The sequence below is a fragment of the Homo sapiens genome, chromosome 17 (genome assembly GCF_000001405.40).
Source record: "Homo sapiens chromosome 17, GRCh38.p14 Primary Assembly".
NCBI lineage: Eukaryota > Metazoa > Chordata > Mammalia > Primates > Hominidae > Homo > Homo sapiens.
In genome coordinates this window covers 31133220-31152554 of record NC_000017.11, presented here as the reverse complement: position 1 = coordinate 31152554, position 19335 = coordinate 31133220, and the positions used below count along the sequence as shown (strand labels likewise).

At 38.6% G+C, this 19335-nt stretch overlaps 1 protein-coding gene across 3 annotated transcripts in view, besides 5 other annotated features; it reads right to left on the bottom strand.

Moving 5' to 3' along the window:
* NF1 (neurofibromin 1) overlaps nt 1–19335 on the bottom strand; it is a 282699-nt gene that overhangs the window by 225121 nt on the left and 38243 nt on the right. The window lies entirely within an intron of this gene.
* Nucleotides 1493–1805: a mobile genetic element, noted in NCBI's record as "direction; forward".
* Nucleotides 1758–1795: a non allelic homologous recombination region, noted in NCBI's record as "MUW-1, UAB-1, and UAB-2 intron 1 recombination sub-region, recombines with the MUW-1, UAB-1, and UAB-2 intron 2 recombination sub-region within the NF1 intron 2 Alu-mediated recombination region". NCBI's record gives the evidence for it as "EXISTENCE:nucleotide sequencing assay evidence [ECO:0000219][PMID:26189818]".
* Nucleotides 6727–7320: an enhancer, noted in NCBI's record as "H3K27ac hESC enhancer chr17:29472253-29472846 (GRCh37/hg19 assembly coordinates)". NCBI's record gives its function as "activates a minimal SCP1, AML or CMV promoter by ChIP-STARR-seq in naive and primed H9 embryonic stem cells {active_cell/tissue: H9 hESC(naive and primed)}" and the evidence as "EXISTENCE:reporter gene assay evidence [ECO:0000049][PMID:30033119]".
* Nucleotides 7321–7916: an enhancer, noted in NCBI's record as "NANOG-H3K27ac hESC enhancer chr17:29471657-29472252 (GRCh37/hg19 assembly coordinates)". NCBI's record gives its function as "activates a minimal SCP1, AML or CMV promoter by ChIP-STARR-seq in naive and primed H9 embryonic stem cells {active_cell/tissue: H9 hESC(naive and primed)}" and the evidence as "EXISTENCE:reporter gene assay evidence [ECO:0000049][PMID:30033119]".
* Nucleotides 7917–8511: an enhancer, noted in NCBI's record as "NANOG-H3K4me1 hESC enhancer chr17:29471062-29471656 (GRCh37/hg19 assembly coordinates)". NCBI's record gives its function as "activates a minimal SCP1, AML or CMV promoter by ChIP-STARR-seq in primed H9 embryonic stem cells {active_cell/tissue: H9 hESC(primed)}" and the evidence as "EXISTENCE:reporter gene assay evidence [ECO:0000049][PMID:30033119]".

The following is a 19335-nucleotide window of genomic DNA, read 5'->3' as shown; positions in this document are numbered from 1 at the left end:
AAAAAAAAGGGGGGACTAAGGAGGAAAGTTGTAATATAAAAAAGAAATTACATACGAGATAATAAAAATTTACAATAAAGTGACAAAAAAAGATAGAAAAAGAAGATTCAACATACATATAACAGGAGTCACCAAAGAAAGAAACCAAACCAATGGAATAAAGTGGATATTAGAAACTAGAATTCAAGAAAACTTTGCTGAAATTATTATTGAAATTTTTAAAAACTTGAAACTGTATCTTTAATGTGCATACCACACACCTGGAAAAGTGACCCAGAATGACCAATACCTTAACATATTTTGAACTTCCGTGAACAAGAAAAAAAAAATCTTTTGAACTTACAGGCAGAAAGAGGACATTATTTATACAAAAAAAACCCAAAAATTAGACTCTCATCAGACTTTGACAAAATTTTATGTCAGAAAACAATAAAGTAAAATAAATTTAAGATATTTAAAGAAAACATAAACCACACAGGAAGGGGAACATCACACACCGGGGCCTGTCGTGGGGTAGGGGGAGGGGGGAGGAATAGCATTAGGAGATATACCTAATGTAAATGACGAGTTAATGGGTGCAGCACACCAACATGGCACATGTATACATATGTAACAAACCTGCACATTGTGCACATGTACCCTAGAACTTAAAGTATAATTAAAAAAAGAAGAAAACATAAACCAAGGATTTTATATCTAGCCAAACTGAATTCAAATACAGTCAGCCCTCTGAATCCATGAGTTCTCCATCTATGCATTCAACAAACTGCAGATCAAAAAATAAATTTTAGTATGTCTGTACTGAACAGGTACAGACTTTTCGTCATTATTCCCTAAATAATAGTGTATAACAACTATTTATATAGTATTACATTGTATTAAGTATTATCAGTAATCAAGGGATGATTTAAAGTACACAGGAGGATGTGTGTAGGCTATATGCAAATACCACACCATTTCATATCAGGGACTTGAGCATCTACAGATTTCACCGTCCATGGAGGTTCCTGGAACCAATGTCCCAGATACTGAGAGACAATTTTATAGCAATGACAAACTGTGCTAAACGGCAAGAACCCTGGAAATTTTGTTCCCTTTTCCTTTTCCTGGAGGATATACTAGAGAATATGCTTCAGATGACCAGAATAATTGGAAAGACATCCACATTAATAGGAATCATTAAATATATTTAGTGATGGGGTATGTTCTGAGAAATGTGTCCTTACATGATTCCACTGTCATGTGAACATCACAGAGTGTACTTATACAATCCTAGATAGTATAGCCTGCCACACCTCTAGGCTATATGGTATACAGGGTACAAAACTGTACAGCATGTTATTGTACTGAATACTCTTGGCAACTTGAACACATGGTGTTTGTGTATCTAAACATAGAAAAGGTAATGATACCATATTATAATACTGAGGGACTCCCATTACATATGCAGTCCATCACTGACCAAAATGTCATTATGTGGAGCATCACTGTATTTTTATTTATTTATTTATTTTTTTTTTGAGACAGAGCCTTGCTCTGTCACCCAGGCTGGAGTGCAGTGGCGTAATCTCAGCTCACCATAACCTCTGCTTCCAAGGTTGAAGCGATTCCCCTGCCTCAGCCTCCCTAGTAGCTGGGATTAAAGGCATGCACCACCATTGCCTGGCTAATTTTTTTGTATTTTTAGTAGAGACGGGGTTTCACCATGTTGGTCAGGCTGGTCTTGAACTCCTGACCTCAGGTAATCCACCCACCTCGGCCTCCCAAAGTGCTGGGATTACAGGCGTGAGCCACCGTGCCCAGCCGGAGCATCACTGTGTTTTCTAAAAGAACTGAGAATGGTGGCAATAAGGGAGAAAGTATATTAGGTGACTGCTTTATGTACTTGATAATATAGATACAATACAATTATCAAAATGAGGAGAGGGAGGGTGGTGAGAGCATATAAATAGTAGAATATGTTTCTTGATTGTCTTGTTATTAACTGAGAGTAAAATGCTAGGGAAAAAGGAGATGAGGAAAGGAGGTTTCTAGTTCATTTCAATATTGCTCAGAGTAAAAAACCAACACATAATACCCCTCCACCCCAAAAGAGAAGGAAATTAGAATACCATATAAAGGTATTAATATAATGGTAACCACCAGAACAAAAACACAAATTGTACTGGTGGTGCGTGGTGTGTTAACTGTTAAGCTGGGAACTACTTTCCCAGATCCCACTCACTATATGGTTCTGGTTAGAGTTGGTCTAAAGGGTAATTTGTACAGGCTGTCTATCCCTAATTGAAAAATCTGAAACCTACAACACTCTAAAATCCAAACTTGTTGATCAACAACATGACTCTCAAAGGAAATGCTCATTTCAGATTAGGGATGATCACGGTGAGTAAAAGGCAAATATTCTAGAACCCAAAAATATGTGAAATCCAAAACACTTCTGGTCCCAAGCATTTCAGATACGGGATACTCGACCTGTATAAAATTTGTTTGAAATGTGGAAGCGAAGCAGCAGCTATTATTCTGAAGGTTTCACAGTAACATACAATGAGAGACAGATACAGAGGCACCCAGAAAGTTCCAGCTTTTACTCTCTCTCTCTTTCACTCCATGTCCAGCTCTTTCTTTGGACCAGTGGTCACTTTGCTGACCAATACTAGCCCAAACCTACCACCAGATGCTTGGGTGCAAACCTACAGGGCTTTGTAAGACAAACCTTACATGGCAAGAGCTTCCCACAGTGCCCTCCTCAAGCTCCTCCTTCATAATCTCACTTCAGTGGCTGGATATATTTGACTTCTCAGATTTCCCCAACAGCTCCAACTTATCTACCCATTGTCATTGATTTGGACGATCTGGTTAGTGGACTCCTCTGATCCTCCAATTCCCCATTCCAGATACTCACCTCACTTAGTCCCCTCAAAACTGTATACAATCTAATTTCTACAATAAATTCCTTATCATTACACAGTATGAACGCTGGTCTGAATAAATCTTTCTAAATACAAAAATATATGCTGAGGCCAAGGCAGGCAATCGAGACCAGCCTGGCCAACATGCTGAAACTCCATCTCTACTAAAATACAAAAAAATTAGTTGACCATGGTGGCGCGTGCCTATAATCCCAGCTACTTGGGAGGCTGAGGCATGATAATTGCTTCAACCCAGGGGGCAGAGGCTGCAGTGAGCTAAGCCCCACTGCACTCCAGCCTGGGCAACAGAGCAAGACTCTGTCTCAAAAAATGTGTGTGTGTGTGTGTGTGTGTATGTGTGTGTGTGTACATGTATATAAGTGTATATATTTATATATGCTGAAAGAGCAAATAACATGAACACAGTGACACTTAAATAAAAGACATGTATAAAATGTAACGTAAAACCAAAAAATGAATCCAAATTCATTAAATGATAGAATAATCTCCAGGACACATCTTAAGTTAAAAAAAAAACAAGATGGAGAAAATATACACAGTATGTTCCATTCATCTAAGAAGAGGGAGGAGATAGAAATATATGTTTCTTATATTAAGAAACAAAACAAAACAGTAGAAGAATGAAATGCTCAAAAAAATTAGTGGTTGCCTTTAGGAAATGAAAAGAAAGTAGAAGTGAAAAGGATAGAATCCATATTCTATATGGAATACATATTGTTTTTGTAGATTTCATTTTAGAACTACGTAACTTACATAAACATAAAATTAAAATTTTAAGAAGTCTAGAAATCAAAAATAAACAAATCAACTGAAAACTGTATCTAATTCTTTAATGGTATAAATGTATCTAATTATTTAATGGTATAAAGAGAGGAACTAAATAATTCTGTGGTATTTTAATTCTATGACTCCTAGTGCCTCTAAAAACCCAAGACTTTCAGCATGGGAAATAAAAGTAATGGTAAAGTAAAGAAATGTAGTCTTGAATTTGAAATAGAAGTATCTATATGAAGTCAAGATATTTTATTTTGTACTTTAAAAAACATATTTCTATTTCTGTCCAATGAAAATGCCTAGAAACAATGACCAATCCCATAGTAATGACTAATGACCAATCCCATAGTAATCCTCACTCAGTTGTAATCTTGAACGACCATTTCCCAGTAAAAGGAATCTGGACTCCTTTAGGAAATGGCTGCTTCTATGTCTGGAGGAAAAAAAAAAAAAAAAGACATAATGACCCCGGAACATCTTGTCATACCAGATAGCAGCACTGACTAATAACGGTCAAGCCAAAAATGGTTAGGAATGAATTTTAAAGAGGCCCCCACTGGCCAAAAGTGTAATAATTTGAACACTTAAGGATGGCAATTTATTGAAACATATTAAATATATTTAAATCCATACTACTGTTTCCATGTAGGATAGAATAATTTACTGCAAAACAATAGCTCCCACCACAAACTTAATTTCTAACAAAAGATGAAATATAAAAATCACCTGTTTGAAGAATTCAGAGAGCTACTGAAGGAATAGGGATTAGCAACACTAAGATTCCAAAAAGAGTGAGCTATAATGAGGTAAGGGGATCTTCTGCAGCTGCTTTTCCCCTGGGGCATTTGCAGATTCTGGTCAGGAAAACAGATTGAGAAATAAGGCTTTTTTCCCAGGCAATGTACCTCTAATGGAAGAAGAAACCATCAGAGATTCTGGTGTTCACTGAGGGCTAGATTGGCAAAACTGAAGACGTGAGGGAATCTCAAATGCCTCAGTGAGTGGAAGAGGGTAAAAAGGCTAAACTAAAAACTTCTGAAAAGCAAAGCAGAATTTGAAAGCCTTGCAGCTTCGAGAGGACAAAAGAGTTCAGAATCTGCTAGTGGAGACCTTAGTAAATACAGTTCTCAGTGATAAGCCCTCGAAGGCTGTGTCTTCTACAAACAGGAGCAAATTACAGCAACTGGAAATCTTAGGAGCTACTAGTAGGCATGTAACTCAGTACTTACCTTGGAAACTGGCATTATCTGCTAAAACTGAACACACACACACACATTCAGCAATTTCACTAGATATATACCCAACAGAAATGTATATATGTTCACCAAAAGACATGCACAACAATGTTTTACAGCAGCATGTTTTATAATTCCCAACAACTGGAACAATCCAAATGTTAATAGCAGAAATGGTTTTTAAAAACTGGTATAGTCATACCATGAAAAAATATACAGCAAGAGAATGACTTACAATTGTGAGCTTAATTTCACAAATACAATACTGACAGACAGAAGTCAGAACAAGACATATTGTATGATGTTACATAAATTTCAAAACCATGCTAAATTCAACCCATGATTTTAGAAGTCAGGATAGATCCCTGGAAAACAGTGACTGAAAGGAAACACGAGGAGGACTCCTAGATTCACAGTATTGTTTTATTTCTTGATCTGGATACTGGTTACACTGGTGTGTTTACTTTGTGAACATTTAACTGAGCTGTATATTTACAATTTGTGCCCTTTTCTATACACATAATTTAACAGAAAGTTTGCTAAATATATGTTTAAATCCATGAATGAATAATGATAATAAAAAACAAAAACAAATTGGCCATTTGGTGGATACAGAGAAATCGTGGTAGACACTGAGGTGCTACCCAGTTCCTCCTTCAAAAAAGGACTTACCTTAAATGCTGGGAGTGCTGTCAGTCAGCCCCTTCAGGGATTGCCTCACCTACAAGGAACAACCCTGTTCAAGGTCATATCCTTCCCAAGATAACCCACATCAAATGACTAATTGATATGGCAATATGAAGGCCTGGACACATCAGCCACCGCAATTCTGGGCAACTCAGAAGAGCCATTCTTGTCCCAGGCTCCCATTCTCGCTCCAGGCTCCCCGTGGGGGTTGGCCAAAGCTGGTGCTGGGCCTGCACTGCATTTGCCCAGTGCTCCTCACTCCCAGATGTTGATTTCAAAGAAAAAAGATAAAAACAAAAAAGCTGATTAACTTCCAATTGAAAACTAAGTTTGAAAGCCAGAGAACCTCTCTGAAAACACAGAGATTCTCCTCTCCTGCAGCAGGAGGGCAGAGAAACCTAAGGACCAAAACCAGCACTTGATTATCGCCCATTTATTACACTTATATATCTCAGAGATATACAGATTGGATGGATGGATGGATGGATGGATGGATGGATGGATGGATGGATGGATGGACAGACAGATTAGATATCTAAATCTGTATGTGTTGGGCTTCAAAGGTTGAACTCCCAAAGGCAGCAGGTCTCCTACGTCCAGATCAGGGGCCTGGCTAGGAAAGAACAAGACTCTGACACATGGAATGGAAACATCTGGGTTGGCGCTCCCAAAAATCTTGTCTCCCCAGATTCCTGAACCGTCTGCCAACAACCAATGAGCCTGGAAGAGAACCCCAAGCCTCAGATAAGACTGAGGCCCCAACCAAAACCTTGATTTCAGGCTGATGAGAACCTGAGCAGAGAACACAGCTAAGCAATGCCTTGACTCCGACCCACAGAAATTGTAAGATAGTAATTTTGTGTGTTTTAGGCTACTGTTTGTGGTAGTTTGTTACACAGCAATAGAAAACTAGAACAACTACCAAACCTGAATCTGTAATGGAAACTTCTCTCCTGAGCTTCAGATGTGTTATCCAAATGTCCATTTGGTTTCTCCACATGGATAACTTGTAGGCACTTCAAACTCAACATTTCCAAAGCTTAATTCATAATCTTCCTACCATGTTTCCTGTCTTGGTAAATAGTACCACAATCTACCCAGTTTCCCATGTCGGACATCTGAGAATCTTCATGATACTTCTTTTGTTCCCTTTACTTCATCTCCCTTTAGTCAGAAGAATTTTTAAAATATATTTTGGCCTCCACCTTTACTCATTTCTCAACTTGCTCAGAAGCCAGGCAGGGAAGGAAGAAAAGTGGTACTTAGGCCCCCCAGGCTCCTACTAACAGCACCAAATTCTATGAAAAGGAAAAAAAAATCAAGATTAAGGAGTTCTAAGTAACCAAGAATTTATCAGATAAGGTGTTCAGGGGAAGCTCTCTGAAGATGTGACATTTGAGCAGAGACCTAAATGAAGTAAAAAAATGGGAAGACCAGCCATGGGATTAGTGGTTCACACCTCTAATCCCAGCACTTTGGGAGGCTGAGGCGGGCGGATCACATGAGGTCAGGAATTTGAGACCAGCCTGGCCAAATGGGGAAACCTCGTGAAACCCAAAAATACAAAAATTAGCCAGGCATGGTGGTACATGCGTGCAGTCCCAGCTACTCAGGAGGCTGAGGTGGGAGAATTGCTTGAACCCGGGAGGCGGAGGTTGCATTGAGCCCAGATCGTGCCACTGCACTCCAGTCTGGGCAACAGAGTGAGACCCTGTCTCAAAATGAATGAATGAATGAGAACGGGAAGACCCATGCAAAGATCTAAAGAAGAGCATTCACGGCAGTAGTTGCAAGTAAAATGGATCTGATGTTGGGTGTGGCATGTTCAAAGCCTAGCAAGAGGGCCAATGTGGTTAACCCAAAGGGAACGAAGAGGAAAATCTAGGGGATGCGGTCAGAGATTCAAGAAGCAGGAGTCAGATCATGAAAAGCCTTATAGGCCATTTTAAGAACTCTGAATTTATTTTGAATTTGACGATGTCACGGATTATATTTTCCAACTGTCAAGTATCTCTCATCCCACATGCTTTCCCGCAATAAGATTTTGCCACTCCCTCATTAGGAAAAGAAATTTATTTTTCTACCTCCTTTCATCTAGCAGGTCCAGTGACTATTCTGACCAATAAAATACGGCTTAAAGGCACACTGTGTAGTTCCAGGCCATAGTCCTTAATTGGTCTGACAGTTTTTATTTCCCTCTTCCTAGAAGCCAGTTGTCATGTAAAAAATGGGACTACTCTGAGATCAGCATGCTGTGAGAAGCCGAGGCCACATGCAGAGATTCTGAAGAATGGGACGCCATTGTGGAGAGAGAGGCCAAGAAACACTGAGGAGCCAGACATGTGACTGAAGAAGCCATAATGGAAGGGATTCTCCAGTGTCAGCAACACAATATGGAACAGAAGAACTGCCCAGCTGAACCTGTCATGAATTCCTGACCCCCAAAAATTGTGAGCACAATAAAATGGTTGTTTTTAGGCTACAAGGCTTTGGAGTAGCTTATTATACAGCAATAGATAACCAAAAGACAGGGGAAAAAGGCACTGAACGAATTTAAGCAAAGGAATGACATAATCTGATTTATGTTTTAAAAAGAACCCTCTTGTTGCTGTATGTTAGAAAACAGTCTTACTCAAGAGAGGATGGTAGCTTAAGTTAAGCTAATATGAATAGAAGAGAAAGTAGTGAGATGTTATAATAGATTTAGAAGGGGGGTGCTTATTTAAAATGGTAAGCTGATTCTGAAGTTAATTTGGAAGAATAAACTTGTGAGAATACCAAAGAAATTTTTGAAAAACAAGAACAAGGCCAGGCGCAGTGGCTCAAGCCTGTAATCCCAGCACTTTGGGAGGCCGAGGCGGGCGGATCACGAGGTCAGGAGATCAAGATCATCCTGACTAATACGGTGAAACCCTGTCTCTACTAAAAATACAACAAAAATTAGCTGGGCGTCGTGGCAGGCGCCTGTAGTCCCAGCTACTTGGGAGGCTGAGGCGGGAGAATGGCATGAACCCAGGAGGCAGAGCTTGCAGTGAGCCGAGACTGCGCCACTGCACTCCAGCCTGGGCAACAGAGCGAGTCTCTGTCTCAAAAAACAAAACAAAAAAAAGAAAAGAAAAGAAAAACAAGAACAAGAGACATGACCAAGTACTGAAATATACTGTTAAGCTCTTACAGCACAATCTGTACAAGTACAAATTAATTGCAATCACAGAAAAGATATTCATATTCACACACAAATTTAATATAATAAAGGTGGTATTTCAAATCAATGGTAAAGAATGGATTAGTCAATACAATTATGCCACATCAAAAAGAAAAGACTAATTCATACTAAATTTTAAAATATATGGGTGCTGCCAGGTGTGGTGGCTCATGCCTGTAAAACCAGCACTTTGGGGAGGCTGAGGAAGGATGACCACTTGAGCCCAGGAGTTTCAGACCAGCCTGGGCAACAAAGTGAGACCCTGTTTCTACAAAAAAAACATTTAAAAATTAGCTGGGGGTGGTGGTATGCACCTGTAGTCCCAGCTACTTGGGAGGCTGAGGTGGGAGGATATCTTGAGCCCAGGAGGTTGAGGCTGCAGTGAGCCATAATTGCGCCACAGCACTCCAGCTTGGGTGATAGAACAAGACCCGTCTCAAAGAGTGTGTGTGTCCGTGTGTGTGTGTGAGTGTGTGTGTGTGATTTAAAAAAAACAAAGCCATAAAGCTATTAGGACAAATACTAAAGAATAATTTAATAATATTGGAGTAATAAAGATTTTCCTAAGCAAGACAAACATACAGCACCTATAATAAAAACACTGATATTTGCTTACAAGAAAATGTATAAATTCTATAACAAAAAGACACTGCTAATAAAGAAACAAACGGGAGGTAAAAGAATGCACATACAATTAGCTACCAAAAAGTTTACATAACTAACAGATCAGGTTGTCTTGCCTATTAATAAGAATATTTATTGGAAAAACTTCAAGAAACAAGGGGCAATTCAAAGGTAAGTGATCAGTAAATAACATAAAAATATGACCATCTCATTAATAATTTTTTTTTTTTTTTGAGACAGAGTCTCGCTCTATCGCCCAGGCTGGAGTACAGTGGCGCGATCTCGGTTCACTGCAAGCTCCGCCTCCCGGGTTCATGCCATTCTCCTGCCTCAGCCTCCCGAGTAGCTGGGACTACAGGCGCCTGCCACCACACCCGGTTAATTTTTTGTATTTTTAGTAGAGACAGGGTTTCACTGTGTTACCCAGGATGGTCTCGAACTCCTGACCTCGTGATCTGCCCACCTTGGCCTCCCAAAGTGCTGGGATTACAGGCATGAGCCACAGTGCCCGGCCTCATTTCCGGCCTCATTAATAATTTTTAAAGTGCAAAATGAAATTAGACCACATTTGTAACCATATTTTTCACAAAAAAAGTAATACTGAAACACATATAAGAAAATAATTATGCCTAGAATGAGGAGGAAAAAACCTTGAGCAAAATTTAAAATATGAGGTCATTGTATTTGAGAGGTAAGAATAAGGTGATTTTTTAAAATTTTTACTTTTATGAGTTTCTCTTCTTTTCAGTTAGATACATTACTTTCACACAATTGAGGAAAAACACTTTTTAAAAACATTTCTTGCTATATTATAGAAATCTTTGGGTATAATGGAAGAAATGTAAAGCTAAACTGCATGAAGAAATATAATCACCTTTTAATTATGATCTCTATTAACAAACTATCAGCAACTTAAGATGTAAGATTTCAACAAACAAGAGGATTTAGCAAAAGAAGGCATAACATTAAGCAAAGCACTCTGTGAACAATGGTTAATTTGTTTCTAGTTTCACTTAGAAAATTCTTCAAAAGGTCACAGGCTAAAATTTTTGCCTCTGTGTACATTCTACTCATTTTCTAAAAGGCCCCTTAGACCATAATGGGGGTAGGGTTTACATTAAAATTCACCTAAGTTTTCACCTAAATGAGAGAAAAAACAAAGAAAATAACCATGCTAGAGGGGAAGTACCCAATACATCAGCTCTAGACACCAGGTAACAAACATAAACCAGGAAGAAGCCCACAAGAAACGGAATTAAGTCCTCCTCCCAACAATCATGGGAGTGAACTTGGAAGTACATCATCCCCTGCCCCAGTAAAGCTTTCAGATGATATAGCCCCAGCCAACAGCTTGACTGCAACCTCAAGAGACCGTGCTCCAGAGGCATCCAGCTAAGGTACCCCTATCTTCCTGACCCATAGAAACTGTGGGATAATAAATGTCTGTTGTTTTAAACTGCTAAGTTTTGAAGTAATGTGTTTTGCAGCAATAGATAACTAATACATTGTGAGTCTAAGTGCTGAAAAGTTAGAAAGCACCAATTACTCCCAAGAAAAGAAAAATAAGACTTTATCCCAACAGATCCCTGCTGGCTACAGAAAGGATAACATTTAAATTCTAACTAAAAGGCCATCAATGATGTCCCTGAAGAAAGAGCACCACTACCAACACCGTAGTAAGAAAAAAGGAAGAATATTTCTTTTATTAATACCTAAAATCACATAGATGTCTCTCATCTGAAAGAATAGAATTTCTGGTAAGTATTTCAGATACCTAAAAAAAAAAAAAACAAGATTAACACCTTCTATGTGTCAGGCACTGTGCTGGGTACTACAGATACAACCACAAAGTTAAGCCTGATCCCTGCCCCAACAATACCTTTAAAAAAAAAAATCTGTGTATATGAGATTTATAAGCTGATATCTTGGGATGTGTATAGACAGCAAAATGGTTACTACAGTGAAAACATCTATCATAGTTACTATGTGTGTGTGTGTAAGTGTTACAAGCAGCTAAATTACTTAATAAAAATCCTTAATACAGTTTTGTTTTATTAACTATAGTCTTCATGTTATACATAAGCTCTCCAGACTTCTTCATTCTATATATCTGCTATTTTATTATCTATATAACCCCATTTCCTTCCTCCTCCTGCCCAAGGTAACCACTGTTTTATTCTCTGTCTCCGTATACTTGACTTTTTAAAAACATTCCACATATAAGTGAGATTATATAGTATTTTTCTTTTTGTGCGTGGTCTATTTCACTTAGCATAAGGTCCAACCAAGTTGTGGCAAATGACAGAATATCCTTCTTTTTAAAGGCTGAATAACGTTCCATTGTATAAACACACACATACACACACATTTTCTTTATCAATTTGCCATCAACAGACATTTAGGTTGTTTCCATATCTTGGCTACCTTGTAAATAACACTGCAATGAACATGGGAGTGCAGACACCTTTATGAAGTGATTTCATCTCCTTTAAGTATCCACCCTGAAGGGGGACTTGCCCTAGCTATACTTTTGAAACACAAAAATTTCTATAAAATAAGGATTTTAAGTGATAACTGATTCTAAGGATATATTGTTTTATTACAGAGTTGACACGAAATTTTTGTCTTTATAAAATTACTTGCTAGGGATCTTCTATTTGATCATCCAAGATAACAGTATTGCTATAAACAACTACTAATTAGCACTTACTGAGCACAAGTACCAGGCACTAAACACATTATACACCTCATTGAATCCCACAATTGTCATTATCTCAATTAATCTCTCAGTCTGAGTCTCTGCCACTCTCCTTTTATTCTCCCACCACTTTCCTTATTCATACTTTCGGAGATGCCATCCTGAACCCCACAGCAGTAAGCTTCCTTGACCTCTCCTACATGATTCTTATTACTGTAATTACATAACCAGATGATACGTTGTTTAATATCCACTGTTGTGCTAGAATGTAAATTCCATGGGAGCAGGGAAGGTATCTTTCTTGTAATCGTTTTATCCCCTATGGTCAGGAGTTTTAAAAGGCAATTAGTACATGCTTGCTAAGAAAAGAAAAATGAACTGGTATGTTACACCGCCTCTTGCTGCCCTCAACAATCACCTTTTTACTGCTTAGGGCAGTATGCTTCTAACTGTTGTCCAAGAACAAGTGGTCTCTCCAAGTCTACCAACCAGTCTACAGATAATTTGGTGATCTCAGAGGAAGAGACCCACCAACGATTACCTTCACCTGTGTTTTACAAACTTGAACTGTAAAATAATATTTCTACAATAATCCTACTTCCTTACTTTGTTACTTTCTTAACGAGTGAAAATCTCTATACCATAAACCAGCAGCCTCTTTCCTTTATCTTGCTTCCAAGTCCGAAAATCAGACATACATCTTCCCAGGCAACCAACCACGCAATATTTTCTGGAACAAACTAATGTTCAAAGAAAAGACATACATTTAGAAAGCCTCCAACAATAAAGTTAGTTCTCCACCAACTTACCCTAGCCCATGCACATGAGCTTCCAATTATCTCACATTTAAGAGTAGATCTGCATTTTTTTCCAGCTTGAGGTATAATTGACAAAAATAATAATTTAAGGTCTACATGATAATTTAATAGATGTATACATTCTGAAATGATTACCACGATCAACTGACACATCCATCATCACAGTTACCGTGTGTGTGTGTGTGTGTGTGTGTGTGTGTGTGTGTGTCTGTGTAAAACATTTAAGATCTAAGAGTAGGCCAGGCGCAATGACTCATGCTGTAATCCCAGCACTTTGAGAGGCCGAGGCAGGCCGATCACTTGAGGACAGGAGTTTCAGACCAGCCTGGCCAATATGGTGAAACCTCATCTCTACTAAAAATACAAAATTTAGCCACGCATGGTGGCACATGCCTGTAATCCCAGCTACTTGAGAGGCTGAGGCACAAGAATTTCTTGAACCTGGGAAGTGGAGGTTGCAGTGAGCTGAGATCATGCCACCGCACTCTAGCTTGGGCGAGAGAATGAGACTGTCTCAAAAAACAAACAAACAAAACTTAGATATTTAAAGTGAAAACAGCTCAGAATCACCAGGTATAAGGAAACCTTATTAACATGAAAGAAAAAGAACCAAGTACACACAATTAATTTTGAGAAAAAAGATAATGAAGAATGAGAAGAAAACTTCAAAATACGGTAAATTATTAGTATCTTAAAAAATACTTAAAAATTTAAAGAATGCTGCCTCTGATCCCAGCACTTTGGGAGGCCAAGGTGGGCATATCACGACATCAGGAGATTGAGACCATCCTGGCTAACACGGTGAAACCCCGTCTCTACTAAAAATACAAAAAAAAAAAAAATTAGCCTGTAGTCCCAGCTACTCAGGAGGCTGAGGCAGAAGAATTGCGTGAACCTGGGAGGCGGAGCTTGCAGTGAGCCGAGATTGCACCACTGCACTCCAGCCTGGGCAACAGAGCGAGACGCTGACTCAAAAAAAAAAAAAAACTAAAGAATGCTATTTTTAAAATAGAGAGAGCAGGCCAGGTGCAGTGGCTCACACCTATAATCTCAGCACTTTGAGAAGCCCAGGCGGGTGGATCACCTGAGGTCAGGAGTTCGAGACCAGCCTGGCCAACATAGTGAAACTTTGTCTCCACTAAAAATACAAAAATTAGCCAGGTGTGGTAGTAGGCACCTGTAATCCTAGCTACTCAGGAGGCTGAGGCAGGAGAATCACTTGAACCCGGGAGGTGGAGGTTGCAGAGTGCTGAGATCGTGCCATTGCACTCCAGCCTGGGCGACAGAGCCAGACCCTGTCTCAAGAAAAAAGAAAGAAAGAAAGAAAACATTAAAGAGTTGGAAGATAAAGTCAAGATATTTTCTACAAAAAAAGAACAAAAGAAAGACCATGAAAGAAAAAAATGTAAAACATTACATGAGTAATCAATTCCAACATGTGAAAAAAAGAAAAAAATTAATAAATAAGATAGGAAGACGTTGCCAGAGAATAACACAAGAAGTTTTCCAGACTTGAAGAGTCTCTAAACTAAGTAAGACCCATTTGGTATCCCAACATGTTATTATTGAACTGCAGAATAGCAAGGACAAATAAAAAAAAATTCCAAGGATTCTAGAAAAGAAAAAATAAACAGATTGATGACAACGTAACAGAAACCAGAATGGCATTGGGGTTAGCAATAATCTCAGTGATAAACTAAAAGGCAATGGAGAAATTCTTTCCAAATTCTGAGAAAAAAAATTATTTCATATTAGAACTTAAGACCTAGACAAATTATCAATTTTTTTTTCAAAAAAGGTAGAATAAAGACATTCTCAAACATTCAAGGTCTCAAAATTTATCTCCTTTGTACTTTTTTTTTTTTCCAGCAAGCTAGTGGAAGGTGTGTTGTAAATGAATGAGATCCACAAAACAAGGGAATCAACACAGGAGACAAGCAATAGGAATTTCCAAAATGATGCTGAAGGGAGAACACAGGATGATAGCTGCACACCTGGTATAGCAAGCAGCCAATTCTAAACACTAGCATGGGAGGAAATCCTCAAGGAAAATGGTCACACTGAACAGATTAACAGGTTTGACCCTATGTGAAAAACTGTACTGAGAACGTGTTAATGATGGAAAGAAATAACAATAGCTACATAAAAACTGAAGCAAATGAAAAAAATGAGGCTAAATGAGACATTACATTTAGGAGACACAAAAAGTTGTACCAGAAAGTAAACTTAATCACAGTACACTACTTGGCTCAGCCTCAAACAATATTACATACATCTAATTGTAGTTCCAGAAGAAAACTAATAGAAATACAGAAAAGAAACAATATTTGAGAAGGTAATGGCTTTTTAGAACTGTTAGACAACAACAAATGTCACTCCCAAGAAGTCCAAAAACTCAAAGCAGAATAGAGATCCATATACCTACAAACATTTTGGTGAAACTACAGAACAAACAACAAAAAGGAGACCTAAAAAAACAACTGGAGAGAAAATGTCACCTATAAAATAAAGGCAATTATGTCAACTGAATTCTCAATGGCTATGATAGCAGACAGATAGTGAAATAGTATCTTTAACATACTGAGGGAAACATAACTGTCCAGAATTCTATATATCCAGCAAAACTATCATTCAAGAATAAGGGAGAAATAAAGATACAGTAGTCTCCCCTTATCCATGGGGCATAAGTTCCAAGAGCCCCAGTGGATGCCTGAATCCAGGGATAGTACTGAACCCTATATATATACTATGTTTTTTTCCTACACATACATGCCTATAAAAAAGTTTAATTTATAAGACACAGTAAGAGATCGACAATAATAACTAATTTTAAAAAAAGAACAATTATAACAATATTCCAGCGTCACTGCTCCTCCTCCTTGGGGCCATTACTATATAAAATAAGGGTTAACTGAACACAGCACTACAATATCATGACAGTCAATCTGATAAATGAGATGGCTACTAAGTGACTAACAGGCAGGTACCATACACAGTGTGGATACACTGGACAAAGGGATGATTTGCATCCCAAGTAAGACGAAGCAGGACTGTGTGAGATTTCATCACACTACTCAAAACAGCATGCAATTTTAAACTTATGAATTGTTTATTTCTGGAATTTTCCATTTAACATTTTCAGACTGCAGTTGACTGTGGGCAACAAACCATAGAAAGCAAAACTGCTGATAAGTGGTTGTGGGGGGAGCGGGGAGACTACTGTATTTTCTTTCCTTTTTTTTTTTTTTTTTTTTTGAGACAGAGTCTTGCTCTTTCACCCAGGCTGGAGTGCAGTGGCACAATCTCAGCTCACTGCAACCTCCGCCTCCCAGGTTCACGTCATTCTCCTGCCTCAACCTACTGAGTAGCTGGGACTACAGACGCCCACCACCACACCTGGCTATTTTTTGTATTTTTAGTAGAGATGGGGGTTTCACCGCGTTAGCCAGGATGGTCTTGATCTCCTGACCTTGTGATCCGCCCGCCTCGGCCTCCCAAAGTGTTCGGATTACAGGCGTGAGCCACCGCGCTGGCCCTGTATTTTCAAAGAAAGGAAAGTAAGAGCAATTACTGCAACAGACCCTCATCAAAAGAAATTCTAAAGAATATGCTTCAAGCAGAAGTAAAATGAACCCAGAGGTAAATTCTGAGACTCAAGGGGTAAAAAAATGAAACAGTTGAATAAAAGGCACATAAGAAAATGGCAGAGCTGGGGGTGGTGGTTCACACCTGTAATCACAACACTTTGGGAAGCTGAGGCAGGTGGATCGCTTGAGCTCAGGAGTTCAAGACTAGCCCCTGGGAAACACAGTAAGATGCTGTCCCTACAAAAAAAAAAAATGTTTTTTAATTATCTAGACAAGATGGCACATGCCTATAGTTCCAGCTACTTAGGAGGCTGAGCTGGGAGGATCACTTGAGCCCAGGAGACAGAGGTTGCAGTGAGCCATGATCACACCACTGGACTCAAGTTAGGGCAACAGAGAAAGACCCCTGTTTCAAAAAAGTAATAATAATTAGATTAAATTTTAAAAAGAAAATGGCAGAAAGGAATCCAAAGATGTCAGTCATCACAATGAATGTAAATGAACTAAACTCTCCAGGCAGAAGAAAAAAAAACCATCAGACTGGTTTCCCATGAACTGTTTATAAGAGACAAACATAAAGCATACAGGCACAGAAATATTGATAGTTAAGAAATGGAAAAAGATCTATCAGGCAAATAGAAACAAGAGAAAACTGGAGTGGACTAAGATAAAAAGGACTAGAGATCAAGAGGGGCACTACATGATGATACAGGACTCAAATCAACTGTAAGATATTGTAAGCCTCTATGCACCTAATAACACACACACAAAACTGACACATCTGCAAGAAAAAAGCATAAACATACTAATTCAGTGAAAGATTTCCTAACTTACCTTTCTCAGTAGTAAGATCTAGCAGACAAAAAAGAATCAGAATTTAGAAGAGTTGAACTGCTTAATAAACTTGATCAAACTCCTATGTAAAAATCACACTCAAGAACTTGGGACTACATATCATTTTCAAGAAGACATGAAAACTTTATAAAAATGGACTGTATGCTTATGGTAGCCAGACTCCAAGATGGTCTGCAAGTATTCCTACATTCTGATATCCACACCCGTGTGTCATCCTCTCTCATCTGGTATTCGGGTTGTTCTGCATAACCAATATTATACGGCAAGCAGGAAGGTATGTAACTTCTAAGGATCATGAAAGAATGTGGCTTTTGATTCTCTCAGATCACTCACTCTGGGAGACGTCAGCTGCCACATTACAAGCAGCCAGATGGAGAAGCCCAAGTAGAAAGGAACTGAGACCTCTTACAAATGGCCAGCAAAGAACTGAGGCCTCCTGCCAAAAGCTATGTAAGTGAATTTACTTGGAAGCAAATGCTCTACCCCCAGTCAAGCCTTCAGATTACTACAGACCCAGCCAAGACTGTCACTGCAGCTTCATGAAAGACTCTGAGCCAGAAACACTCAGTTCAGCCACTAATGGATTTCAGATGGACAGAAACTTTATGTGATAATAAATGTTTGTTGTACAAAACGGCTACATTTGGGAATAATTTATAACATAACAATAAATAACTAATAAATATGTTCAAGGTCATAAAGCTAAGTTCAAATTTGAAATTACTGGTAACATATAAACCATAACATGTTTCATATTCATATGAAACACTCTAGGTGAAAGGAGAAATCATAATTGAAAACATTATATGGAAATATGAAATTGAAAAATAAAAAGCCAATTATTGAAACTTGTAGGATACAATTAAAGCAGCATTTAATAAATTTATAACTTTGAATACTTACAATCAAATGAAATATTCAAAACTGATGAGCTTAAATATAACTCTAAAAGTCAGAAAACGTGCTAGGTACAGTGGCTTCCACTTATAATCCCAGCACTTTGGGGAGGCTAAGGCAGGAAGATTGCTTGAGTCCAAGAGTTCGAAGATGCAGTGAGCTATGCTCATGATACTGTACTCTAGTCTGCATGACAGAGCAAAAACCTCTATTAAAAAAAAACCAAAAAGTCATAAAACCACCTAACACTCATTAGGATGGCTACTATCAAAAAGAGACATGAAATAAGGCCAGACGCAGTGGCTCATGCCTGTAATCCCAACATTTTGGGAGGCCGAGGCAGGCAGATCACTTGAGGTCAGGAGTTCAAGACCAGCCTGGCCAACATGGCGAAACCCCATCTCTACTAAAAATACAAAAATTAGCCAGACATGGTGGCAGGTGCCAGTAGTCCCAGCTACTAGGGAGGCCAAGGCAGCAGAATCGCTTGAACCCGGGAGGCGGAGGTTGCGGTGAGCCCAGATCACACTACTGCATTCAAGCCTGGGCAACAGAGTGAGACTCTGTCTCAAAAAAATAAAAAAAAAGACACAAAATAACAAACGTAAATGAGGATATGGAGAAATTGGAACCCTTGTGCACTACTGATGGGAAAGTAAAATAGTGCATATACCTATGGAAAACAGTAAAACAGTTCCTCAACATATTACAAATAGAATTACCATATGATCCAGCAACCCTACTTCTAGGTACATATGCAAAAGAACTGAAAGCAGGGTCTTGAAGTGGTATCTGCACACCCATGTTCATGGCAGCATTATTTACAATAACCAAAAGGTGAAAGTAACCCAAATGTCCTGAATGGATAAAGAAAATGTGGTTTACACAAATAACAGAATATTATTCAGCCTTTAAAAGGTAGGAAATTCTGACATATGCTGCAATGTGGATTAACCTTGAAGACATTACACTAACGGAAACAAGCCAGTTATAAAAAGACAAATACTGTATGACGCCACTTATTT